This window comes from Homo sapiens, chromosome 10 (assembly GCF_000001405.40).
Source record: "Homo sapiens chromosome 10, GRCh38.p14 Primary Assembly".
NCBI classification, from domain to species: domain Eukaryota; kingdom Metazoa; phylum Chordata; class Mammalia; order Primates; family Hominidae; genus Homo; species Homo sapiens.
In genome coordinates this window covers 24,337,678-24,364,658 of record NC_000010.11, presented here as the reverse complement: position 1 = coordinate 24,364,658, position 26,981 = coordinate 24,337,678, and the positions used below count along the sequence as shown (strand labels likewise).

Here is a 26,981-nt window from a genome sequence, read left to right as displayed (position 1 = left end):
CTAAGGTCACGGAAACCTAGAAGCTGGAAGAATCTCCCACCATCAGAGCAGGGAAGGCCCCGGGATGCTGGAGACGTAGGAAGCCCTTCTCAGAAGATGCAATGGAATAAGCTCACGAACTTTAGGCCTCAGGATCCTATAATCACACATAAGTTTTCTCAGGATTACAAAATGAACCTCACTGAGAACCTTTTTTCGCTTCTCAGTAGGTTCCATCTGTGTGGAAAGTTTTGAGCCCAACAATAAGAGCAATAAAAAAGAAAACTGGATTTTATTAGGCCTCTCACATATACCTGCTAAATCAACGTGGAGCATTTACAAGCTTGATTTACGGCTTTGACTATACGATAGAAAATTGTTCTTAAAAAATAAGAGCGGGTGGCTGGGTGCGGTGGCTCACGCCTGTAATCCCAGCACTTTGGGAGGCTGAGGCGGGTGGATCACCTGAGCTCAGGAGTTCGAGACCAGCCTGGCCAACATGGCAAAACCCCATCTTTACTAAAAATACAAAAATTAGCTGGGCGTGGTGGTGGGCGCCTGTAATCTCAGCTACTCAGGAGGCTGAGGCAGAAGAATGACTTGAACCTGGGAGGCGGAGGTTGCGGCGAGCCAAGACTGCGCCATTGCACCCTAGCCTGGGCGACAAGAGCAAAACACTGTCTCAAAAAAAAAAAAAAAGTGGATGAGACCAGAGTTGAGTGTTTTCAGTGAACTTCTGGATTATCTATGCTAATGATAATCAGTAGTTTATCACATATAAAGAGGTTAGATCAAGATTAAAAGAATGGGCCTGGTGCGGTGGCCCATGCCTGTAATCCTAGCATTTTGGGAGGCTAAGGTGGGCTGAGTGCTTGAGGTCAGGTGTGCAAAACCAGCTTGGGCAACACAATGAGACTCCATCTCTACAAAAAATACAAAAATTAGCTGGGCATAGTGGCACACGCCTGAAGTCTCAGCTACTTGGGAGGCTAAGGTGGGAGGACTGCTTGAGCCCAGGAGGTGGAGGGTGCAGTGAACTGAGATTGTGCCACTGCACGCTGCACTCCAGCTCGGTCAACAGAGTAAGACCCTGTTTCAAAAAAAAAAAAAAACAAAAACAAAACCCACAAAAAACTAAAGGAATGTTACTGAGAAAACAGGAAGACTCAACTACCTCAAGGAATGGCAAAAATAATAATACTGTAAAAATTAAACAGAAGAGCATTTATTATTTCAGAGACTCCTAATAAATTCATCAGCTATCATAAGAAAATGGCAAAAAGAAACTTCAGACATTGTTGTTGTACTAAATGGCACTTGAGATCTCTTTGAAAGGCTAAATGTGGCAGGAAGGGAAAGGGGTTCAGAGTTTCTTTCCTAATGCTGATGAGTCTGAGAAGAATTGCTCAAGAATAATAAATATTGGGTAACCACACAATGAGCAAATGTAGTGGAGAGAACCAGAAATGAATGACACACGTACAGTACTTCAAACGGTCTGAATGACAAGCGATATTTATTTTATTTCTTTTGCTATGTCTATTTCAGGGTTTTCTATAATAAATATAATTCTATAACAAGGCACAAAGAAAAGTATCAGTAAAGGAGGGAAAAAGTGAATTGTTGATCTCTAGGGAGTAACATCAGGAAACTCTGGAGGCTGCTAAAATTTAAGCACTCACCCAAAGTTCCACTTTTGTTCACAAATTAAAGATTTTCTTTTCTTCTTCTTCTTTTTTTTTAATTAAATTTGAGACAGTTTCACTCTGTCACCCAGGCTGGAGTGCAGTGGCATGATCTCAGCTCACTGTAACCTCTGCCTGGCTAATTTTTGTATTTTTAGTAGAGATAGGGTTTTGCCATGCTGGCCAGGCTGGTATCGAACTCCGGGCCTCAAGTGATCTGCCTACCCTGGCCTCTCAAAGTGCTGGGATTATAGGCGTGAGCCACCGCGCCCGGCCCAGAAATTAGAGACTTTCTGATGTCACTTTACATAGAGTCAAATTTTGACTCTCTGGAAGCAATTTAACCAGTTAGGAGACTAACCATGGTAAACGAAAATATATTCATAAAAAAATGTAAGATCTCATGAAAAGCTCTTTGTATTACAAATTGTCTCGGGTTTGTAATTGCACAGCAAATCACTGAGCCATCCAGCATATCTTCCAACATGAAGATCTAATCGCCAAAGCCTTAACTTAGATTGTTACTTATGTTTCTAAATCTGTGGAAGCACATTTCCTTTTCTTCTTCTTTTCTTTTACTGTTAATATCCTTATTCTCTATTTTACCAGTGGAGAATGTTTAGTATTAATTTCCATTTAGCTCAAGATTCAAGAAATGCAAAGTGCTATTTTTATCAAATTTCTGAAAGCCTACTGTCTTCTGCTTTGGAAGTCCCACAACAGCTCTTTAATTTCCTTAAGCCCCACTTTCCTCATCAGCAAGTTGGTGTGGCAATGGATCATAATAGGTTGCTGGGAGGATGAAGTGAGATCCAGGCATGTGAAACACTGTACACAATTCCTAACACAGACTAAGGATGCAAATGTTAGGAACTTGCAGATTTAAAAAAAATTGCATTCTCAAAAAGATGCTCTATTTTAACAAATGAACAAGAAGACAATTTTGCATATCTTTTTGATACAGCCATTCTATTTCTTTTTCTTTCTTTCTTTTTTTTTTTTTTTTTTTTTTGAGACAGAGTCTCGCTGTGTCGCCCAGGCTGGAGTGCAGTGGCCCGATCTTGCAGTGGCCCGAACCTGCAAGCTCCGCCTCCCTGGTTCACGCCATTCTCCTGCCTCAGCCTTCCGAGTAGCTGGGACTACAGGCGCCCGCCACCACGCCTGGCTAATTTTTTGTATTTTTAGTAGAGACGGGGTTTCACCATGTTAGCCCGGATGGTCTCGATCTCCTGACCTCGTGATCTTCCCGCCTCGGCCTCCCAAAGGGCTGGGATTACAGGCGTGAGCCATCGCCCCTGGCCCAGCCATTCTATTTCTAATAAAGAACCCAAGAAAATAATCTACAGTTATCTACAAGGAGGCCCTGCATGATATGGTATTTGCCCACACACAGTGGAACCAACAAAACCAGGCAACCACATGCAATGATGAAGTAGCTATCATGTAACAGGAGGGAAAGAAGTTCACACATATAATTAAGTGGATAAAATCATATTAGAAAACAATGGGCTGGGCACTGTGGCTCACACCTGTAAATTCAGCACTTTGGGAGGCCAAGGTGGGAAGATCGCTTGAGCCTAGGAGCTCAAGGCCAGCCTGCGCAACATGTTGCAACCTCATCTCTACAAATAATACAAAAATTCGCCAGGCATGGTGGCGTCTGCCTGCAGTACCAACTACTTGGGAGGCTGAGGTGGGAGGATTACCTGAGCCTGAGTAGGTTGAGGCTTCAGTGACCTGTGATTGCGCCACTACACTCCAGCCCGGGGTGACAGTGTTAGACCCTGTCTCAAAAAATAAAATAACATAAATAAGAAAAAAAAATGGCATGTGCTTGTGGCATGTGGTTTCTTTCCTTTGAGTCTATGTGCCTAGAAAAAAATAGGAGAAGGATATACACCAAAATATTAACACAAGTATTCTATGTGGGTCATGGGATTGTAAATAATTCTCCTACTCTTAGTCTATTATTTCTAACATTCCTAGAATATCCATGGTTACTTTTGTAATAAAATTTTTTTAAAAACTCCCGAGATGTAGCATTAAATTATTTGTGCTTGCTTTTCTGATTTGTTTCTACCTCCAAAAAAAAAAAACCACTTAGCATTGAAATAACTACTGATAAATTTGAAACAACAGGAGAAAAACAGGAGATTTGATTTGAGAGTTTTAAAAATGGGAAGAACAATAAAATCATATCTACATGCGTGGCCTCTTCATTCCTCGTCATTTGGCCATCATTCTGTTTCCTCACGTTGATTACGTTTCGAGTTGCACCACAAGGGGGTGCCCTGAACCTAGCGAGTATGATACAGTCTCCAGCATAATCAAAGGAGGCAGCTGAAATCCCAAATTCAAGAGGAAACAAGACACAGGTCAACTGATTGCTTTTGGTCCATCTTCATCCTCTCCAAATGCCCCCAAATGGCCCTGGTTCAAACTCGGGCTGAATGTAACCAGTCTGTGAAAAAACTGTAATGGGCTGACTGCTTGCATAGTTAAAGCCCACGATAGAAGGGAGAGGCTTGATTGCTGCAAGTCTAAGAGATTTCATAAAGTTACCACTGAGGAATAAAAAATTAGTAGCCTCATGACACAAAACTAAAGAATATAACAAGACCAAACGTTGGGAAATAGTCTTGAAAGTAATTCTATCTTGGCCGGGCGTGACAGGATCCCAGCACTTTGGGAGGCAAAGGTGGGTGGATCACTTGAGGTCAGGAGTTCAAGACCAGCCTGGCCAACATGGTGAAACCCCATCTCTACTAAAAGTACAAAGAATTAGCCGGGTATGGTGGCGTGTGCCTGTAATCCCAGCTACTCGGGAAGCTGAGGCACAAGAATCGCTTGAACCCGGGAGGTAGAGGTTGCAGTGATCCCAGATTGTGCCACTGTACTCCGGCCTGGGCGACAGAGTAAGAGTCTGTCTCAAAAAAAAAAAAAAAAAAAAAAAAGTAATTATATCCTAAAGATACACAGTCTGTCAGTAACTGGGGGAGCAAAGTAATTTCTGATTATTTGGGTTAAAAAAAAAGAGCTACTAAATTGAGAAATCTAATTGTAATATAATTCCTTTTCTAACTGTTTAAAATACTTAAAGATGGAATAAAATTACGTAGCCTTGTGAGACTTTATAAGTCACACTAAGAATTATAGTTGATATAACAATAATAAAATATAAAGCCTCAAAGACCTTCAAGGGTAAATAAACTAAAAAGCAGCAACATTTAACAAAAAAGAGTTCAGGGTGATATCCCAACAGCTTCTAATTCTAAGAATTTCTAATTTCCTAAGGAATCTTAGAATCTAAAGTAATCCTATAGTGAATATAGGATAGTGGTTGAAAGTATAATTTCTGGAAAGAGAAAGAACTGGGCGTAAGCTTCATTTTCAACACTTACTATCTGTGAGACTTTGGGCATATTACCTTAGGCATGTTTCATGTACACTTTCTTCATTCATGACATAGTAATAATGATGTTTATATTATACTTTGTTGTATGAAATAACTTGAGAAAAATGCTAAAGCCAATATCTGACATACAGTAATGCAGATTTATGAGCAATTTGAAATAATTAATATTCTCATCAAATGAAAGCTAAGTCAGGCATGGTGGCTCATGCCTGTAATCCCGACACTTTGGGAGGCCGAGGCGGGCAGATCACTTGAGGCCAGGAGTTGGAGACCAGCCTGGCCAACATGCTGAGACTCCGTATTTACAAAAAACACACAAAAAATTAATTGGGTTTTGTGGCACACGCCTGTAGTCCCAGCTACTTGGGAGGCTGAGGCACGAGAATCACTTGAGCTTAGGAGGTGGAGGTTGCAGTGAGCCAAGATAGCACCACTGCACTCCAGCCTGGGTGACAGAGTGAGACTCTATCTCAAAAAAACAAAAAAAAAAAAAAAAAGAAAGAAAGAAAGAAAAGAAAAGAAAAAAGAAAGAAAGAAAGTATTAGAATGAACAAACACATTGGCTAACTATAGGACGACTGTGATCTCATTCACAGATCTCAGGTACTATGTGGCCAATGGATATGTCTGAACTCCTGTGTGCTCCTGTTCTCATGGGTCAAAGTAAGGAGACTGATTTTTAAAAAAACAAAACAAGTACACTTTGTGTGTGTATGTGTATATATATGCATACAATGGAGTGCTGGCTTTCAAAGTAGTGAGTTTGAAGGGTGACAAGATTATTTCTATGACCTTGCCATTGCAATGCAAAAAATAAACAAACAAAAAACAAATTGCAAAGCAAACCTGTCATATACAGGGTGACTATTCAGCCAGTTTTCACTATGGCCAACCACTGTGTATGGCCACTGTCCTGACTGGACAACCCATGCCACAGCACAGTCATTGATCTTCAATTTTGTGTCTCAATATCCACCCTTCCTACTTTGATATAAGACTAAAATGATGCAATAGATTTATGAGAGCTTTGAAATAGTTAATATTCTCATACAAATGCAAGAGTGTATGAGAATGAACAAACACATTGGTTAACTATAGGAGGACTGGTATCACATTCACAAATCTCAGAGTTCTTTCCTAAGCCTCCACATTCCCAGTTAACAAAGAGTGAAATTGAAGTATCCCTGCCCGGTGTTCTACAAAGTGCCTGGGAAGAGTTGACCCAGGTCGTCTCTGCAAGTGTGACAGATACTCTTAGAACTGCCCCAACCAAGTGCAGCCCATGGACATCGGGATGACCAGTTCCTTGAGAACTCTGCTTATTTTTGCCTCCATAACATTTAAAACCCCTAGACACACTAGATACTTTACTTATTTGCTCACTTCTTATCTGTCTCCTTCCCCTTGCACCCACACACTGAAATGTAATGATCACAAAGGCATGAATATCTTCATCCACATCCACGCTGAGTTTTCACTTACAGAATGAATGAATGAAAGGCTGGAAGAAGGCATTGGTTCTTGGGAGTCTTGGCTCTGTGCAGCTTGCTTGATTTGGGGGCTTACCCCCTGACAGTAAACTACTCTTAGGGTCTGGGGAGTTTACGTGCATGGCTCAGGCAGTGGTGCCTACAGCCTCAAGCAAGCCTGCACACTTCACAGCCCTGGAACAGGCCCAATGCTCACATGGCCTCACCAGCCAACCTGCTGGGACTCACTTCCAGACACCAATCACACTCCAGCCAAGAGCATTCCAATCTATCACCCCGACTCCCCTATGCGTTATTGCTTCTTGGTCGCTCTCACACCTTGAAAGGAGGAAAATACTCATCCTATAAGGAATTTCTGTTTGGCAGGGTTTCCCTTCACAATTTTCACTAAAACGCCCCTTCCTTGGAACACGAAACTTAAGTTAAACAAAAATACTCAGAACCCCCCAAGAAAAAAAGAGCTTGCAAACCTCTGGTTTCTATTTCCCTCTCATTATTACAAAGGCTTTGTATTGTAAGACATTCCATCCTTGCTTCAATAGCTGCCTGCGGGTGTGCTGCTGCAGGGGAATTAAGCTTTGTGCTGGCATAGCAGGTGCCAGTTAACTCTTGCCCAGGCCCTAGTCCAAAGGGGCCTTGCTTTAGGAGTGGCCTTCTCAAGCTTGGGCCCGGCCAAAGGTAAGAATTTTAATAGGGAAAAGAGGTGGGATAAGACATAAGATGATTTATTGAAGCTAGTCCAGAATGCACTTCTGATTCTCCCTTTTCTTCCATAGGAAACAGGCCCAGAGTGTAGAAACTCACAGATTCTGACCAGCTTGCATCCAAAGCAAGGTGATTCGTACTACTCCAGGCCCAGGCAGCCAGCTGAGGGATGCTTCTGAGTGTCTTGTCTTCCTCTACCTACAGTGGGCAGGGGCTGGCCTTCATACAAGGTCTACCCTGAAAGTTTCCATAATGGCTGGCCGTGGTACGAGTGGGGCATCTTATCTTGCCACTCTATGAGGGAGAGGTAAGGCTCAATGATCTGGAGAGCACTGGGCTGAGAGTCTGAGACCAATTCTTAGCCCAGGCCCTGCCTCAAACTCATTGTAACTTAGGCATTTATCTGGCCCTTAATTTCCTTATGCATTAAAATGAAGACTTGGATTAAACCTTTTTGGCAAATTTTAGCTTTAAGTTGCTTTAGACACAGATGGCCTCTGTTTTAGTCCGTATCATGTTGCTATAACAGAATACCACAGTCTGGGTAATTTATAAAGAAAATAAATTCATTCCTCATGGTTCTGGATGCTGGAAGTCCAATATCAAGATGCCAGCATCTGGCGAGGGCCTTCTTGCTGTGTCATCCCATGGTGGAATTGTGGAAGGGCAAGGGAGCATGTGTGTGAGTGACAGAGGAGGGGGCCCAAACTTATTCTTTTCTTAGGAACGTGCTTCCAAGATAACAGAATTAATTCATTCCTGTGGGTTGTGCCTCATGACCTAGTCACCTCTTATAGGTCCCAACTCTCAACACTGTTGCATTCGGGATTAAGTTTCTAACACATGAACTTTGGGGGACACACTGAAACCACGGCAACCTCCTAACATCCTTGGCCACACTAGAGGTCTCCCCCACAAGGTTATTATCAAGGAAGGCCTAGACTAATGGGCAGGAGCTCTAAGTGCTTTTTGCAAATCTCTAAATACCCATGGGAAGGACCTGCGGTCAGAAGGACCTGGGTTCAAGATGTAGATTCAGCATTCGATGCTGTTTTACTTTGAATAAATTACTTAACCCAGCATCAGGCTTTGTACTGGGGCAACTAAACCATGACCCTCAATTTCTGCATCTGCAGAATGGCAATAATCATCCCACCTACTTCACAGTGGTCTCCAGGAAGCACAAATGAAGCAAACTGGTTGAAAGCACTGTTAACTATAAAGCTCTAAAAATAATAAAGCAATGATGTTATCATTAAGGAGAAGAAACTTAAGTTATGCACAAAAGAAAGAGAAGAGACCCTAAAATGTTCTGCTGCTAAAGAATGAGGACTTGCTGTCCAGGTGTGGTGGCTTAAGCCTGTAATCCCAGCACTTTGGGAGGCCGAGGCGGGTGGATCACAAAGTCAGGAGTTTGAGACCAGCCTGACCAATATAGTGAAATCCCGTCTCTACTAAAAATACAAAAATTAGCCGGGCGTGGTGGCAGACACCTGTAGTCCCAGCTAGTGGGGAGGCTGAAGCAGGAGAATGGCTTGAACCCGGGAGGTGGAGGTTGCAGTGAGCCGAGATCGGGCCACTGTACTCCAGCCTGGGAGACAGAGTGAGACTCTGTCTCAAAAAAAAAAAAAAAAAAAAAAAAAAAAAAAAAAAAAAGAGTGAGGACTTGCTATGCTCATCTCAGCCTGCTCAGCTGTGGCGACAGAAGACCTACAACACTTGGCTTCAGTTCACAAGTGCCATGAACTGAATGTGAGTGCCCCCCAACCCCAAATTTACATGTTGAAGCCCTAATCTCCAATGTGATAGTATTTGGAAGTGAGGCCTTTGGGGTGTGATTTGGTCACAAGAGTAGAGCCCTTGTGATGGGATTAGTGTCCTTCTAAAAAGAGACATGAGACAGATGCTTTCTTTCTGCCATATGAGGACACAGCAAGAAGACAGAGGTCTACCAACTAGAAAGAGGGTTGTCACCAGAACCTGACCATGCTGGCACCCTGCTCTTGGACTTCTAGCCTCCAGAACTATGAGAAATAAATCCCTGTCATTTAAGCCCCCAAGTCGATGGTATTGGTTGCAGCAGCTGAAACTAAGATAATAAACCACTGAAGACAATGTGACAGATGTTAGCATCTGCATCCCTGGCTGTGAGACTTGCTATCCTGAGGGGCTGAAGCCCACCTGCTTACACAGCTGCAACCTCCTCTGGCCCCAAGCTCCAGGGACTGAGTTCAGCCAACCTGCCTGCCCTCACCAGTCTGTGTCACCTGGGACAGCTCAATGCTGAACTCTGGCCTCATCTTCAAGCTTCTTACCTACTAACCTCTGGAGACAGCCAAAAATACTTTAGGGGCTGACAATTATTCTGTGAAAACTGATAAGCTTTACTGGGAGAAAAATGTTTTCTTGTACAAATGACATGGACAGGAGGCAGGGAAATACTGGGTAGAAGAGGGTGGTTCCTTGGCAAAAGCCCCACCCTCAAGTCTGGAAACCCATGGCCCTAAATGGGAACGGGCATTCCTGTTTTTGTGCCCAAATGTTGCCTTTTGGTCTGCCATGCCTCCCTATCCTGTACCCATATAAACCCCAAGCCCCAGGCTCCATGAGCAGAAGAGCAGAGGAGCAGAAGAGCAGAGGAGCAGAGGAGAGAAGAGAAGGAACATCTGAATGCTGAGAGGAGTTTGGCTAGGAATGGTGAGAGAGGAGATTGGCTTCAGGATGGCTGAACTCCAGGGGAAGATCATCTTCCCACTCCATCCTGCTGAGAGCCACCTTGATGAGGCAATAAAATCCCCCGCATTTACCATCCTTCAGTTTGTCTGTGTGACCTGATTCTTCCTGGATGCAGGACAAGGACTTGGATACCAAGAGGGCACTGAGCTGGTTAACACTTAAGCTGTGTGCAGATGGCAGAGCTAAAAGAGCATGGTAACATGCCCACTGCAGCTTTGAGAGTTGCAGGCACCCACCCCTAGATGCTACTGTGGGGCCAGAGTCCAAAAGCACTTGCCCCGGCTCCTGCACCTGCCCATCTGCATGCTCCCCCTCCTGTAAGGGGTTTGAGTGCTCACTAGGTGGCCAGATAGACTAGCCACACCCCTGTCTCACGTCCTGTGAGGGGGGTCCGGGAACTCTGCCATTTCACAAATACTATTCTGGACAGTTCCATTTCAGGGCTAATAGCAATCAAATAAGAGAATGCTACCATTTCTTAAATTCAAAGATGACTTGATGTTACTTAAACAGACCAGGAACATGGGCCATCATCAATTGGCAGTTCATATGTTCAATCTTCTTTATAATAAACACAACCAAACTGAGGGCCACAGTGACAAGTTATTATTTTTAACATTGTATTTGAGGAAGATAATCCGTGGAGAAACCATCAGAAAACCCAGCTACAGCTCTGCAGCATGATTTTGAAATCACAAGTGGAGTTCATACACTCTGCCAGCTGGAGGAATATTACTGATTGTCATTTTTCATATCTAGTCACATTTTTTGCTCATAAAATAAGATTTTGATCTTTGGAAATCAGAACATTGACTTCTAGGAGTTCTTGAAGAAGTGTAATGCTCATCCCTCTAATTACAATGAATTAAAATAGAATGTATGCTCATAACAATTCCACTCTAAAAAGACTTTGCTAATTGCCTGGAAAAATCAAGAGCAAAAAGTTGAAAACATCGTCTCTGAGTACACAAACAGCCTCTGGCCCTACACTGAAAAACTGAGTCACATCAAGAGAGAGAGGGAAAATAGCCCCTCAGCAAAATTAGAAATCTTACAGCTCTTGTTTATCATCATAAATATGGAACTTTTGGAGCTGGTGTACAACTGCAGTTCATGAGTGATCAGCGGGGCACTGAGTGATGTCATTAAAAGGCTTTCAAAAAGCATTTAAGAAGATTACCAAGTGCTCTTCCAGGAGAAGGGCAAAAATAAAGTAAAATAAAATAAAAGGTACCGCGGAGCTTCCTGGAACACCCCTCCTGTCGGAACTTCACAGAAACAAGCTGAAAATATGCGATGGAATAAATCTAATGAGAAATATGTTTGAAAGAGAAGGACAAACAGAGATTGTAACAAACAAAATATAGTGGTGTGGGAAAGGTGGCTTTTCCCATAAATGAGGTCCAAATGGATATTAAGGTGACACTGTCGTTTCACAGCCATTTTCATCTGGGACATCTGCTTGGGTGGCTCTATCTCCTGTCCTTTGCAAAACAGGAAACCGCACCACCTATATGAGTGCCCCTGGCTTGTCTGAACATATTCAGGATAGAACATCTCTATCTCAGCCTCCACCTAGAAGACCTAGGAGGCTGCTGTGGGTCTAAAGCTGATGTAGAGGGATGTGGGGTCATTCTAGCGTTCTCGGGAGGCCTCAACACTCTTTTTGCTCTCCAGCACTGACTTAGGGAAGCCCATAAGGAACTGACCTGACACCACCCCCACCCACCCTCCATCTACCTGCAAGCCCCTATAAAGCCACATTCCCTCCTTTCGCTTGCACTTTAAGCCATGGGGGTTTAGGACAAAGTCGAGGTCACTCATATTTTCAGATTATTTTCTCCATGGTAATTCAACTCTTAGGAACATCTGGCAAGGAATCCCTTTCTTTTTGACATGGTCTCCCCAGCCCCTCTCATAATTTACCAAGTATCACGATGCCCTCCCACCTCCTTCACAAAGCTAATAAATCCCACTTGCCTGTCATCAAGAAGCAGTGCCTTTGCCTCTGGGAACAGTAACTCACTTTTTCAAGGCAAGATTACTGAGCAAGAATAACCTTGACTGCATTGTTCTAAAATCCAGAGCAGACAGCGGAGTCTAAACAGATGGAACATTTGATTGGTTAACAACAACAAAAAAAAAGATTATACTTTTTAATAGAAGGGTGGTGCTTTGGCCACCATAATCTATAATAGGCAGATCAGCAAGCCCATTTATGAGAATGGCAAAGGAAGGTTTTTAAGTTTCCACCTAAAGTATACATACATACTTTGCAATTAATTGCACATCCATGCAAAAATATTCACGATTATTCCATGTGAAACATTTGAAAGAAGACTGGCTTCCAATGGACTCTTTAAAGGATTACTCAGTGAGTCACCCCACCTCCCCATTCACAATGCAATTCTTGGGTCAGCTGAAAAGACTAATGGTGAAAGCTTAATCCAATGCTTAGCACTATTGTGAGTTCATTTGCTGACCTCTTTTCCACCCCAGCAGAGACTGCAATGTGGCAGAGGGGAAAGGCAGGCTTCACTTGGGTGTGAAGAGTGCCACGCTGACGGCCAACACTCACTGATGAAAGATGAGGAAAAACAGCCCAGCCAGAAAAGTGATCCTGTGTGAGGGATCTCTGGTGGGTTCCCCATTGTGTTAACAGACACCGGCATATGTAGAGTCCTGTCCTGCCCATCAACCACAGGGGAGGGTCAGACCTGTGAGCAGCAGGGTGGTGGCTTGTGGATAGACTGTGGAGGGTGGAGAGTGATGTTAGGGGAACTGGGAGCCCATCTCGCTCCAGCAACCTGCTGGCCGCACCCTGCAAATCCACAGTTGCTTGGTAAGCTATGCAGGGACTGTGGACTTCATTATTAAAAGTTCAAACATGGCTCGGAGAGATCCAACAGCAGCCCCATCAGATAGATCAATTTACTACTACTAATCTAGAACATTTTTTTGAGGAGAGATTTTGCTAAGATGCAGGAAATGGGGTCCATAAACGAAAAAAACGGGTGCAAAACGAAATTATTCCTTGCTTCATTGTTTTTCATGAGTTCTGCCTCAACCCAAGGTGAAGAAAAGTCCTGTATTCTCCCTGGCTCTCCAGCTCTCCTTCCACAAGACTCTGACCCCTCCATTGCACAGTGGGTAGCAGGATTCAGCATGTAACACAGCTATATCCACCCATACTAGGGAATGAACGAGGGAGGACACGCATGAACACTGACCTTGGATGTGCCATAAAGGGCATGGTCATAATGACTGCCAGGATCTCTAGAAAAGAATAAAGCCCAGGGCAGGGAAGAAGATACAGACTCTTAGAAGGGAAGAAAGAAAACCAGATAGAAATTTTGGAAAAGTTAGACCCCAAAAATTCGTTTACAAGACGCATAATCACTGGCCAGGCATGGTGGCTTGCACCTGTAATCCCAGCACTTTGGGAGGCCGAGGTGGGCGGATCACTTGAGGTCAGGAGTTTTAGACCAGCCTGTCCAACATGGGGAAACCCCAACTCTACTAAAAATACAAAAATTAGCTCTGCGTATGGTCGCATGCCTGTAATTCCAGCTACTTGGGAGGCTGAGGCATGAGAATTGCTTGAACCCAGGAGGCGGAGGTTGCAGTAAGCCGAGATCACACTACTTGCACTCCAACCTTGGTGACGGAATGAGACTCTGCCTCAGAAAATAATAAAAAAAAAAGATGCATAATCACTTTTCCAAAAAAACTGTTGAAATACATGACCTATTAGGTATGATCCACCATGAAAACGACCCTTGCAATTAAGATCTTATCAGTTAGCTGTTTTTTTTTTTTCTCTCACTCACCACTTCCTCGCACTGTGTATTTCCTGTCAGCTAACTCCCATGAATGCAGGAGGGAAGTTTAGGATCAATCTGTTTTATGAAGTTTCTCTCGAGACTTACTTGTAGACTCCAGAGGAAAGGCATATCCTGTTTCAAAGTCAATTACTAATGGGTAAAAAGAGTTTACTGCATTCCTTTAGATATGTTAAAAATTAAATAAAAGAAGTAGAATCTTCTTGATTCTTCTCCACAGGGAGAGTTTTTCTTAATTACTGATGTTTTATGGCTTGGGTAGTCTGAACGGATCATGAAAACACATCAAAAGCAGATAATCAACACAAAGACCTTTCAAAATGCACCCAGGCAAAAGAGGTTATCTATGATATTGTCTGAGAACTAGAACACAATAAAAATTATCTTAACACACAATCGAAGTCATGCCAAGTAACTTTCCTTTGGGTAGTTCACGATCTAAACCAGACTGCCTCCCCTCCTCCTAATTTCGTAAAGGCTACCCCACATCTGCTCCTGGAATTACACGATACACAAGAATGTTCTCCCTCAATGTTGATGCTGTAATTGTTGGGGAGCCAGGTCACTGTTTTAAAACCAGGAAGCATCTGCAGCATATAAAAATATAACATTGCTTTCAGCTTCTGAGGCTTCTATGCCTCAAGCCAAAAGGTAATGAGTTCCCTCAAAAATATTTTCTTCTCTTTCTTTAAAAAAATGATTTGGGGGACGGGGGCAAAACAAAAGCAATTTATACCACCTTACCCAGGGATGAAGAGTAACCATGCATCATGCCTGCTTTTAATGGTCTCACTTTCTTTTACCTGTCTTTCCCTCCAGGACCAGGATTCTATTCCTGTCCCAACTCCACCTCCATCCAACGTCATTCCCCCAAAGGCCTGCTCTTCAGCTCACTGGGTTAAAGGCATTCTGAGTACACAAGCTTTTCATTACTGCTTAGATTTCTTTTCTGCTGACCATGATTATACATGAACTTGCCAACAATCTCTACTCCAGAGAGATATTCCTTTCTTTTTAAGAAGAAAAATCATTTCTGTACTTTATTTCTTCACGAAGCTCTCATAATCTAAAGATGTTCAATGCATCCAGAAAGTGACTCATTTTCCTTAATGGCTTTCGGTTCTTGGCATGTACTTTCTAATGTTTACAATCCCACCAGCACACCATAGCCTCAGGTTATAAGAGCCTCCATCAAGCTGGCCAGGCAAAAGAAGGTGTTTTGCAAAGGGCACAGGCTTGGAAACAGGCTGTCCTAGATGTACTGTCTGCCAAACAATGGCCTGATTGAGGCTCAGTCTTCTTGTCTGTAAAATGGGAAAACCACCCTGTAGCTTATGCAGAGTTGTGGTCAGGAGTAACTAAAATAACTTCAGTGTCTGATGCCTAGTTGGTGTCCAACAAATACCTTTGCTTTGCTCATTCTCCAACCTGTACTCAAAAATCTTGCCAGAGGACACACAGATGTTAGGGGATCAAAGCCAGAGGGATTGTTTCTATATTACACATTGGTTCATTCTGGTAGTCATGGTTTTTTCTTTCAAATAACCAGGTTATATGTTCTTCACAAACAAAATCAGTAAGTTAACATCATGCATCCATTAACACTCAGTGTAACCTGCTACAAAAATATGAGATCTCAGATCTCAATCTCTCTTTTTTTTTTTTTTTTTTTTTGAGACAGGGTCTTATTCTGTTGCCCTGGCTGGGGTGCAGAGGCATGACATGATCATGGCTCATTGCAGCCTTACCTCCTGGGCTCAAGTGATCCCACTTCAGCCTCCCAACTAGCTGAAACTATAGGCAAAATTTTAAATTTCTTTGTAGAAAAATGGGATTCTCACTATATTGCCCAGGCTAATCTTGAACTCCTGGTCTCAAATGATCTTCCTACCTTGGCTTCCCAAAACTCTGGGATTATAGTCAGGAGCCACTGTGCCCAGCCCCCAGCTGTTTTTGAATGCTTGGGCCAACCCTTGGGAGTAGTAACTTGCTCAGAACGCTATCTACTCTTTGCTAGGGCCCTAAATTTCTCCAAAAGAAAATCCCCAATGATTCAGCTACTTGGGGGATGGGTGTGAAAATTTAGCCTGCTTATTCTTGAGATCCATTATCTGTAAGATTCTATGGAACATGCAGTGGTGGGCTTGCCTGATATGTATACATTTCTTCTTTATCCTCAAGATTTTACTAACTTCCCATTTTTAAACAAATTTAAAATCTTCCCTGTATCTTTAGGTAAATTTTATCAAAATCACAAAGTAATTTGTAGAATTAAATTTAGAATTTTATTTCCTAATGGATTACATATTAGGATTTATTTTCATTTAGAATTTATCTGCAATGATATTTTCACCATTTAATATATAGTTGTATTATGTGAGTATTGGAATGAACTAGAGTAAGATCTATTTTAGAAGTATACTTACTGGTAATTCTTGTAGGATAATTATTTCATTTTATTTTATTTTTGTGACAGGGTCTCACTCTGTCACCCAGGCTAGAGTGCAGTGGTGTGATCTTGGCTCACTGCAACTTCTGCCTCCCAGGTTCAAGCGATTCTGCCTCAGCCTCCCAAGTAAGCATGTGCCACCATGCCCAGCTAATTTTGTATTTTCAGTAATGGGGTTTCACCAAGTTGGCCAGGCTGGTCTCAAACTTCTGACCTCAAGTGATCTACCTGCCTCTGCCTCCCAAAGTGCTGGGATTACAGGCGTGAGCCACTGCACCTGGCCAGATGAGAATAATTGTATCTTAAGTTCATATGATCAATAATTATCTTTCACTCATATAGCAACTTTCTTGAGTCAAGGAATGGTATGCAAATGACATGCATATGAATATGCATATGAATGACACGCATTCCATTAATTCACCTTAAAACTCAAAGGATGGTAACCATGTGTGGTGATGGATATATTCATGAATTTGATTGTGGTAACCATTTCACAATGTATTTGTATATGAAATTGTCAGGTCATACACCTTAAATATATGCATTTTTTATTTGTCAATTATACTCAATAAAGCTGGGGGGAAAAAAACCTCAAAGCATTTCTTCACGAAACTGGCATGGAATTTGTTGTATCTTTTAATGTATGTTTGCATTGCTTTTGTAGTTTTAATTAGTACTCCCTTTTTTATCCTAGTATATTTTTTCATTCTCTCTCCCTGAATGCCAATAGAGTAATCCCCAGCTATGAAAACAAAATATTAAAAAAAATAAAACTTGTGATGTAAGCCTTATGGCTTTTTCCATGGGTATAATCCCAACAATTAATCTCCCACTTACCTAGTGTCAAGGGTAGTCAAAGCTGGCACGTTTGTAATACAAAAATGACAAAGTTTTTCTTTTTTTCTCTGAGAAATGTAAGGAAAGTGTAGAGGAAGGAAAGTACTCCAGGACAAGAGGATGTAAAAAAAATCTCAATGGCTCCTTCCAGTCCCACTTTCCAGTCCTCTGAGTGTTTATCCAGTGCAGTATTTGAGAGAGTTTGGTGAGAAAGATCACGCACTGCATCCTTCAGAATATAAACCCACACCTCAAGCTTAGAGGCCTGAAAATGACCACGAAAAACACACTTTTCATGGTGCTGGGTAGAGGGCTATCATTTCAAGAAAGCAAACATTCCTCACCAAGTGGTTGCGACCTTTATCTTTTGGCTTTTTTTCATGACTCCTGCACCTGCCTAAACTTGAAGTAAGGAAGCTATGAGGTATCAGACTAGTGAGTGATTAATCACTGTCATTTATTTCTATGCCATTTATTTGGACTACTCTTATATACCTTAACACTCACTAAGCCAACACTCGGTTATTAACAATAGTAACAATTTAATGAGGAAGTATCTTCAGATTCTAAAATGGCTTTGTTGAGACATCATCAGATGGACAAAAGTAGTGTTTGCATATTATCTTGATTAAAAGCCAACAAAACCTGGCTGGTTGCAGTGGCTCATGCCTGTTGTCCCAGCACTTTGGGAGGCCAAGGTGGGAGGATCACTTGAGGTCAGGAGTTCGAGACCAGCCTGGCCAACATGGCAAAACCCCAACTCCACTAAAATACAAAAATTAGCCGGGTGTGGTGGTGCACACCTGGTGGTCCCAGCTACTTGGGAGGCTGAGGCACAAGAATCGCTTGAATGCAGGAGGCGGAGGTTGCAGTGAGCTGAGATCACACCACTGCACTTCAGCCTGGTGACAGAGCAAGACTCTGCCTCCAAAAAAAAAAAAAAAAAAAAGGGCCAACAAAACCCAAAATACCAAATGTCCTTTGACAGATGAATGAATAAACAAAATGTATAGACATACAAAGAAATATTATTATTATTATTTTTTGAGACGGAGTCTCGCTCTGTCCCCCAGGCTGGAGTGCAGTGGCACGATCTCGGCTCACTGCAAGCTCCGCCTCCTGGGTTCATGCCATTCTCCTGCCTCAGCCTCCCAAGTAGCTGGGACTGCAGGTGCCCGCCACCATGCCCAGCAAATATTTTTGTATTTTGTTTTTTAGTAGAGACAGTGTTTCACTGTGTTAGCCAGGATGGTCTCGATCTCCGGACCTGGTGATCCGCCCACACCTCGGCCTCCCAAAGTGCTGGGATTACAGGTGTGAGCCACGGTGCCCGGCCAGAATATTATTAAGCCTTAAAAAGGAAATTCTGACACATGCTGCCACATACGTGAACCTTGAGGACATTGTGCTAAGTGAAATAAACCAGTCACATAGAAAAACCCAAACACTTTCAGTAGGTTTATGATTTTACCTAAACGAGTTGTCTAGAATAGTCAAGCTCACAGAGACAGAAAGTAGAATGGTGGTTGCCAGGGGCTGGGAGGATGGCGGGGATGGAGAGCTGTTGTTGAATGGATAGAGTTTCAGTTTTACAAGATGAAAAAGTTCTGAAGATTGGTTGCATAACAATGTGAATATACTTAACACCACGGAACTGTACGCTTTAAAATGGTTAAGATGGTAATTTTACGTTATGTGTATTTTACTACAATTTAAAAAATCGTAAAGTTGCCGATAGTCAAATGAATAAAATGAGAAAGGGGGAAAAAAGCGACCCCCCCACCCAAAAAAAATCACCAACTCCTAGCCTAGGTTTCTCTACAAAGTATCTAACTATATAAGGAAAGTTCAAATGGCAAATTATTCTAAGCTTCTTATTTGTGTTGCAGAGGCAATTCCTTGCCTGTATATTTAGTCACAGTTAAGTCTTATCTTAACAACTCTCTCCAAAGGGGACTGGATCTGCACTCAATCAAGTCGGACTGAAGATCTTAGGTTCATTCATTTATTCTAATGGTCCCGTTAGTGTTTCCATAATGTTTTGATTCCTTGAGATCTTAAACCATGCCCTTACCTCAAATGTTGGGCTATGTATGGATACCCTTTGGATAGGCTCACAGCAGTAGGCTGCAATTTCTTTCTGTTACCCTTTTTATTTGGAATGACTCCTATGCGTAGATAAATATTGCCGTATTCCTACGAAGTGGGCAGCTCTGTGCTCCATGCGGAGGGGAACTCAAGCCAAGCACTACAGCTGTCCCTAAGTGCCATCTGCCATGATCTGCCGTGGCTTCTACCACCCCCTTTTTTGTGTGTGTTAGGAGGAAAATGAAGTTCATTTTCAATGCTAACTGTCAGTGAAGAAATCACTATGCTTGGTGTCTTGAATTAGTTGGATTGAAAAAAGCTTTTTCATATCTGAAGCCAAAGAACAGACTATATACCCCTTTTGTCACACACCCATGTTGCTTCTCTGACTGGGGTGTGGAACTAACGAGTGCCTATGCCTCTTTGTTCAATTGAACAGAAGCAACCAAATTGCCCATTCAGTTGATGATGGATTAGCCACCTGGATGGTTGATATTGGATTCTCTGAGATAGTCTGCAGAGTTGATTCTGAGATAAGAACAGTTCTTAATTGTATCAACTAACTGAATCCACAGTCTGTTTTAATTCAAGATCCAAGACACATTCCTACCATTAAACATATGGAAGACAGATAGAAAGAAATCTCATTTATTTTCTCGCCATATAAATAGGAAGGTCTCTCCCTTGAACAATAACATGTACAAATAAGGAGATTTTTGAGCAGGGGCTATTCCCTGACCATGTTTAAGCACAGATCTGTTTAAAATTAAAAGTTACATTCCTGTTATTAAAAGCTCATCCTCTTTTAGAAAATACCCAATCAGTTCAGGAGGGAAAAAAATCCTTCACTGTGCACATTATTAACTCATGGAAGGCTTTAGGTTTCCACATTCCCCAATAATAAGGTCAGAACTGACTCTTGGACTCTACCCCAAAACCTCAACTTCCTGCTCTGCAAGAAGATTTACCTCAGAGAAGGAATAGGTCTCAACTGTTGCCAAAGCAAAGACATTTATACGAAATCAGTCAGATCAGGGCAACTGGTAACTCTATTCGATGTGCCACATTCTAAAAGACAAAGCGCAAGAAATACGAACAGTTTTCTGTCTGATTGTCTACAAATGTGTGTGTGAGTAGGTACAGTAGATTTATTGAACGCTGTCCCAGAAGTGAGATTTCCAGATAAGACATTTAAAAATATCCTTCTAGATGCTATTTTTAACATTATCTTATTTATTTAAAATTTTGTTTATATTCAATCTTGTTAAGCTTATTATAAGGGCAAAATTAATTCTTTTTGGATGATACAATGTCATCGTGAACACTAATTCTGGTGTTAATAGAGAAAATGGAAACAAAGAGGCCTCTTCATTAAGCAGTTTCAAAACAGTGAACTGAGCAACCAATTTTGCAAATCTTCCCCCTGCATGGCCCATAACTAAAAATATAGTCACTCAAACATCGTAGAATTGGAGACGGAAAAACAGCTCAATGGAATGAAACATAGAGTTCAGAAACAGACCCAAACACAGGCAGAAATTTGGATCTCACAAAGTGGCATTTCAAATCAACAAGGGAAAAGATTAATTATTCAGTTCGTGGTAGTGGTACTGTTGACTAGCCACTTGGCAAAAGAAAGAAAGCTAGATCTCTATCAAACTCCTTGCCTCAAAATAAACTGTAGAAGGATCAAATATTACAACGTAAGGAAGCTAAACTCTAAGAGCACTAGTATAGAACACAAACAATGCTTAATATGTAATATTAGGACAGGGAAGTTCTTTCTAAAAATACAATTCCAGAGGCAGAAATATGAGAGGAAAGATTTCTGAGGTTGATTGCATGAAAATTTTAAATTTCTATGGGAAAAATACATGCAAACTTTAACAACTGGAGAAATATTTGCATAAAGTGTGAAAGTTAATTCCTTAATTTATGAAGTGGTCTAAAAATACCCCCCAAAAACCTCATCATCCAATTAAAAATGGGTAAAAACACAAACTGGAGCTTCGCACAAACACAAAATTGACTAACTAATATAGGAAAATATACTCTAACGTCAATGATTATAAAAATGTAAATCAAAACAATGAGCTTTTTTTACTCATTGGGTTAGCAAAACTTTTAAAAAGTTAATATACAGGATAGCAACTATCAACTAGCATTCTTATATGTTGCAGAATATTATATATATCCAAATAGGTCTAACATTTCTGGTAAGATTTGTAAACATTTTGAACAATCAATTCTACCTTTAGAAAGTTATCCTGTGGAAAAAAATACCCAGATATATGAACAGACCATCCAGTGCAGCTTTGCCTTCGTAAGAAATTGGATAAAGATGGAAATGCAGGAGTTGCAGTTAGAGAAAGACAGAAACTAGAAAAATAATCATTTAAATTAGCATAGGGAACTGATTTAGTAAATGATAATTCATATGATGGTAAACAATGTAATCATTAAAAACTGAGTCGGCCGGGTGCAGTGGCTCACGCCTGTAATCCCAGCACTTTTGGAGGCAGAGGTCGGCGGATCCCCGAGGTTAGGAGTTCGAGACCAGCCTGGCCAAGATGGTGAAACCCTGTCTCTACTAAAAATAAAAAATCAGCCGGATGTGGTGGCATGCATCTGTAGTCCCAGCTACTCTGGAAGCTGAGGCAGGAGGATCGCTTGAACCTGGGAGGCGGAGGTTGCAGTGAGCCGAGATTGCGCCACTGTACTCCAGCCTGGGCGACAGAGTGAGACTCTGTTTCAAAAAAAAAAAAAAAAAAAAAAAATTGAGTTGTATCTGCATGAGCTAATGTGAAGTACCTTGAAGATGCATCACTAAGTGGAGAAGCGACATACAGAGTAACTGTAGATTATTATAATTTTTATAAATGTTCACATAAGCCATGCATCTATCTACTGGGATATGCATATGCCATTTGAGGAAAGGATCTAACAAAAAATGAATAACAATGGTTAATTTTAGAAAGGAGGATTGAGAATTGAAGGTAGAAGCTTTTAACTTTGTGATTGTGTGCACAGCTTAACGTATGAAGTTTTTCCATGTACATATATTACATTTAATTTGAAATTTTTAATTAAAAAAATCAGTCCTGTTTCTGCTGTCAGCTGCCATTTTCTCTGTTGTCACAGTCTTCTACTAAATTGGACAAGTATGTGAGGTAGGTCTCTCTGATTTAAAAGTTTAAGCTTAAATGACAATGATTTGTTTCTCAATTGTCTTGTTCACACATCTGAATTTATGTTTGTGACTGTTGCTCTCTGTGACCATGGCCTTGTGTGTATTTGTACACAGAGCTCCCCAGTGACTAGGACGTGTACAGTGTACTGTACTTCTAAAACAAGCCCTCTGGCTGCAAAGGCCACAGTGCTATGCCTTCAGGCATAATTTCATGCTAGCAAGGACAGTCTGGTAGACTTCCTTAAATTTTAATTATTTGTCCAAGATCTGTATATCAACACTCTTTTCAAACAACATCAATTATTATAAAAGATGATACTTTAGGAACACATGACGATATTCCAAGTCTATGTGGCTATCTTTTTTTTTTTTCCAGAGTTCCAGAATTTGGAAGCTGAAAGGAATCTTTGAAACCACCCACTTCAACTCCTACATTTAAGAGATTGGAACTAATAAAAGTTCAATGGCTTGTCTAAGGCTATTAGTTAGCAGTTGGAAAGCCAGTGGGAAATTCTAGATCTCCTGAAAACCAGTTTCATGCTCTTTGCTCTAAAAGCTACACTGAAGAAATCTAAATTACAACCTCAGTTCATTAAAGTAAGTATTAAAGGAGTCTTTGGCTATGACGCAGAGTATAAAAGGAAATACACTTCGTTTCCCTGATTCAACTTCATAAAATTTTCCAAGGAATGTTGGGCTCAAATAGAGGAGATACTATACGTATCTACAAGTAGAAATAATGAAATGAACATCAAGTCTCCAATGAAAAGAAAGGCAAAAGGAGAATTCAACTCCAGATAGAGATTAACAAAACATCCAATTTAAATAAAAACAATTCATGAGGTCTTTTTTTTTTTAGGACCGGAAGAGAAAGAATCATCTTGGCTTGACAATCTTCCAACTGACCTACTGATTTCCATCCCAATGAAGGATTTAATCACGACTTTGCCTGTACATAGAAGACATGGAAAAGGGAATCCTATCATATACCACTGTGGAATGCCTCTAGAAAGAAAGAAAATAAGAAGAGTTCATTTGCAAGCTGGGCACTGAGTCCAACTTCAGCCCGGGGAGAATGCATTTCTTGGTTTTCCTTTTGCACTGTGATGGTTATTTTGACAGGAGAAGTAAAAGGATAACAAGCAGATCTAATCCATATGGACTTGGCAGCCTATTGAGTACAACACAGTATCTATAGGGAAGGAAAGCAAAGCAATCAGAGAGAAAAAATTCGCATTTCTCAGGATTACATGACGGAGAACTATCGGCGCATAACATGTGTCAGACACATTTACAAGCGTGCACGTGCTCACACACATTCAAAGAATATTCCCATCCACTAGAAAACTGGATCAAATGCTGAGGCATTTCTGCTCACTTGAAAATAATTTCCAAGTGAACTTTATGATTCCTTATGAGGTTGACATCTCAGAAGAAAAGATCATTCTATTAAACGTGGGGCAGTCAATTACATGAGGTAGCTGTCTAGACGGTTCTTTCTGTGGCAGTTTAAAGCAGAAGAAAACTCTCAGGAGTAAACTTCACAATGAATTGCTCTGCTTGTGCCAGCGGAGCCTTGTCTGGCTTTAGTCCTGTGATGGATGCTACAGAGGAGGGAGGGAAGAGATGTGGGTGGAGGGAAGAGATGCGGGTGGAGGGAACTGCAGGGATATTAACCGGCTGTATTAGTTTGTTTTCACGCTGCTGATAAAGACATACCAAGACTGGGTAATTTCTAAAGAAAAAAAGGTTTAATGGACTCATACTTCCAAGTGGTTGGGGAGGCCTCACAATCATGGTGGAAGGTGAAAGGCATGGCTTACGTGGCAGCAGGCAAGAGAGAAGGAGAGGCAAGTGAAAGGGTTAACCCTTTATCAGACCATCAGATCTCGTGAGACCTATTCACTACTAGGAGAACTGTATGGGAGAAGCTGCCCCCATGATTCAATTATCTCACACCGGGTTCTTCCCACGACACATGGGAACTGTGGGAGCTACAATTCAAAATGAGATTTGGGTGGGGACACGGCCAAGCCATACCACCAACAGAAGGCAGAAATTGTTACAGCATCAGATTCACACCCCTCCAAAGGAAAAGGGCCAAATCACAGGGCTGTCAGTCTAGCCATTCTCCTACCCAGTCCCAAATGGCCAAGAGATCAGGTCCCAGTTGGATGGTTAGACATCCTTTTCCTTCCCCACAGAACCACACAGCCTGCAGCAGGTCTTCTTTCCTGACTTCGCAACACTCTAAATCCTTGGAATTCGCTGTATTTACTAACCCACTCTCAACAATGAACCTGTTATTCTGACAAGCAAGGAAGAGTAGGAGAGAAGACAGAGTCAAAGAAAAGGGGAGAATCTGTTTTGGGAGACAGACTAACATTGGCTTTGGGGGGACACTAAAGTTCTTCATTGTAAAAGATGTCTCCTCATAATCATGGTCCCTAAATGCAATTAAATGGTGGATAATAATAAAAGTCTCAGAGAGACCTGGGTGCAACATTGGCCCAGAACTTTCTTAATGTGCTATCCTCATTGAGTTAACCAACCTCTGCAGCCCTTATTTCCTCTCTTGTAAAACAGTGATAATGATACCTAATAGAGAGTTGTGAAATTAAGTGTGGAAACACACGTACAACACCTGCTCTAGTTCCTGGCTCACAGTGGATATTTGACAAACACCAAAATTCCTGATTATCACCTCACCCTTGAACTTACTGGCTTCTGAACCTAGTAATTCAATAGGTCCATGTAATATTGATTCTGAGCTTCAAACATGTTACTTTGATACTAAGAAAGTAAATTCTTTACAAGAGGTGACATGGGATTTCCTTCCACTCAGAAGTATAATTTTCTTTATATTGAAATTAAGTAATAACTAATGAACTATTAATGAAGATCTATTTGAATAGCCAAAAATTGGGTGACAATGCCCAAAAGGGAAATATATGTATATACTCAATGACTGAATTGTAATGATTACAACCCAATAGAAACATATTTTCTGTGCTACTAAAGAGACATCCAAAAAGGGATATTTAAAAAACAAAACGAGGTTAATTAGAGATAAGGAAAATAGTGTGAGAACGGGGGAGATCATTTTTGGGGGAGCTACTATGTATACCAGAAACCTATCAGGTTCTTTCACATGTAATATTTTATTCAATCCACATAGTAACACTGAGAAAAATATGGAATCTTCAGTTTTACAGATCAGGAAATCAAGCTTCAAAAACTTGCTAGTTCATGCATAAACCAGGATTTCAATGTAAGTCACTTTGACTCGAAATTTTCCTTCTCCATGTAAATGGAATTTATTTCTGAAATGAATCTTGGTTTATATTTTTCTATATATCCTTCTATAAGATAGTTTCAACATGATTCTGTTAAGATGAAATTATTCTTTCTTAAAAGTTATCCATATAATAATAATCAATTCTGTCTAGATTTCCTAGCCCACAAAAAAAACAAATAAAGGAAATAATCTTAAAATGCCTCAAATTGACAATATTTGAAAAGGAACATGTTTTGCTTCTAGAATGAGGAAAAAGCAAATACGTTTACATTATGTGAAAAGAAAACCTATTTCAAACAAGTTTTAGGTCAGACACAGACATTTCTTGAGTATCAAGGTCAAAACTGTAAAACATGCTCAGCTTCTTAAGAAGTTGACAGCTGTCTCTCTTTGAAGGATTAAATTCAGTCCAGCTTGAATGCATGAATAATTTCATGAGGTGCTTTCTGACTTGTGCACATGCTATAGGACTTAGAGAGTATCTGTAAGTCCTTCAGAAGCAAGGGGCAGCCAATGTCATTTTTTTTCAGGCCACTTGCATATCAACCTTCAGGACTGGGGGTCTAGGGCTAAGAAGATTGCTTAAGATTCTGATCCCCCATAATGGGATGTTAAGAAGCTGCACTTCAGACACCAGAGGATGCACCTGCATAGATATATGTATGGGTTCAACCTTAGGACTCAGAAAAGGATAGCTGTCTCGGGCCTCTTTAGAATAACCTGTATAACCTAGAATAATCCTCTGCATTGGCAGAACCTAGAAAATCATCCACATTGGGACATAAACTACTCAGAACTTCTGGTGACAAAAAGATTCAAGGGGAATTGAGTGAGGCTGGTGGGACATTGAGACTCATGCTGCATTGGCCATTTGTTGGTTGCTTTCTAGATTACAGATTCAAGTTAAATTTAGAAAACACTTTGAGAGATTACAATGTCCCATGTACTGCTGAAACTGGCAAAATGACTAGGAGAAAGGCAAACATAAAAATGTTTACGGGCCGGGCGCGGTGGCTCATGCCTGGAATCCCAGCATTTTGGGAGGCCAAGGCGGGTAGATCACGCAGTCAGGAGTTCAAGACCTGCCTGGCCAACATAGTGAAACCTTGTCTCTACTAAAAATACAAAAAATTAGCCGGGCATGGTGGCAGGCACCTGTAATCCCAGCTACTCAGGAGGCTGAGGCAGGAAAATCACTTGAACCCAGGAGGCAGAGTTTGCAGTGAGTGGAGATTGCGCCACTGTACTCCAGCCTGGGCGACAG

The 26,981-nt window shown here is 41.3% G+C and overlaps 1 protein-coding gene across 30 annotated transcripts in view, besides 3 other annotated features; it reads right to left on the bottom strand.

Moving 5' to 3' along the window:
* Window positions 1-26,981, bottom strand: part of KIAA1217 — an 853,117-nt gene that overhangs the window by 183,185 nt on the left and 642,951 nt on the right. The window lies entirely within an intron of this gene.
* Window positions 3,981-4,040: an enhancer, noted in NCBI's record as "active region_3156". NCBI's record gives its function as "activates an Ori minimal core promoter by ATAC-STARR-seq in GM12878 lymphoblastoid cells {active_cell/tissue: GM12878}" and the evidence as "EXISTENCE:reporter gene assay evidence [ECO:0000049][PMID:35858748]".
* Window positions 4,071-4,150: an enhancer, noted in NCBI's record as "active region_3155". NCBI's record gives its function as "activates an Ori minimal core promoter by ATAC-STARR-seq in GM12878 lymphoblastoid cells {active_cell/tissue: GM12878}" and the evidence as "EXISTENCE:reporter gene assay evidence [ECO:0000049][PMID:35858748]".
* Window positions 15,163-15,222: an enhancer, noted in NCBI's record as "active region_3154". NCBI's record gives its function as "activates an Ori minimal core promoter by ATAC-STARR-seq in GM12878 lymphoblastoid cells {active_cell/tissue: GM12878}" and the evidence as "EXISTENCE:reporter gene assay evidence [ECO:0000049][PMID:35858748]".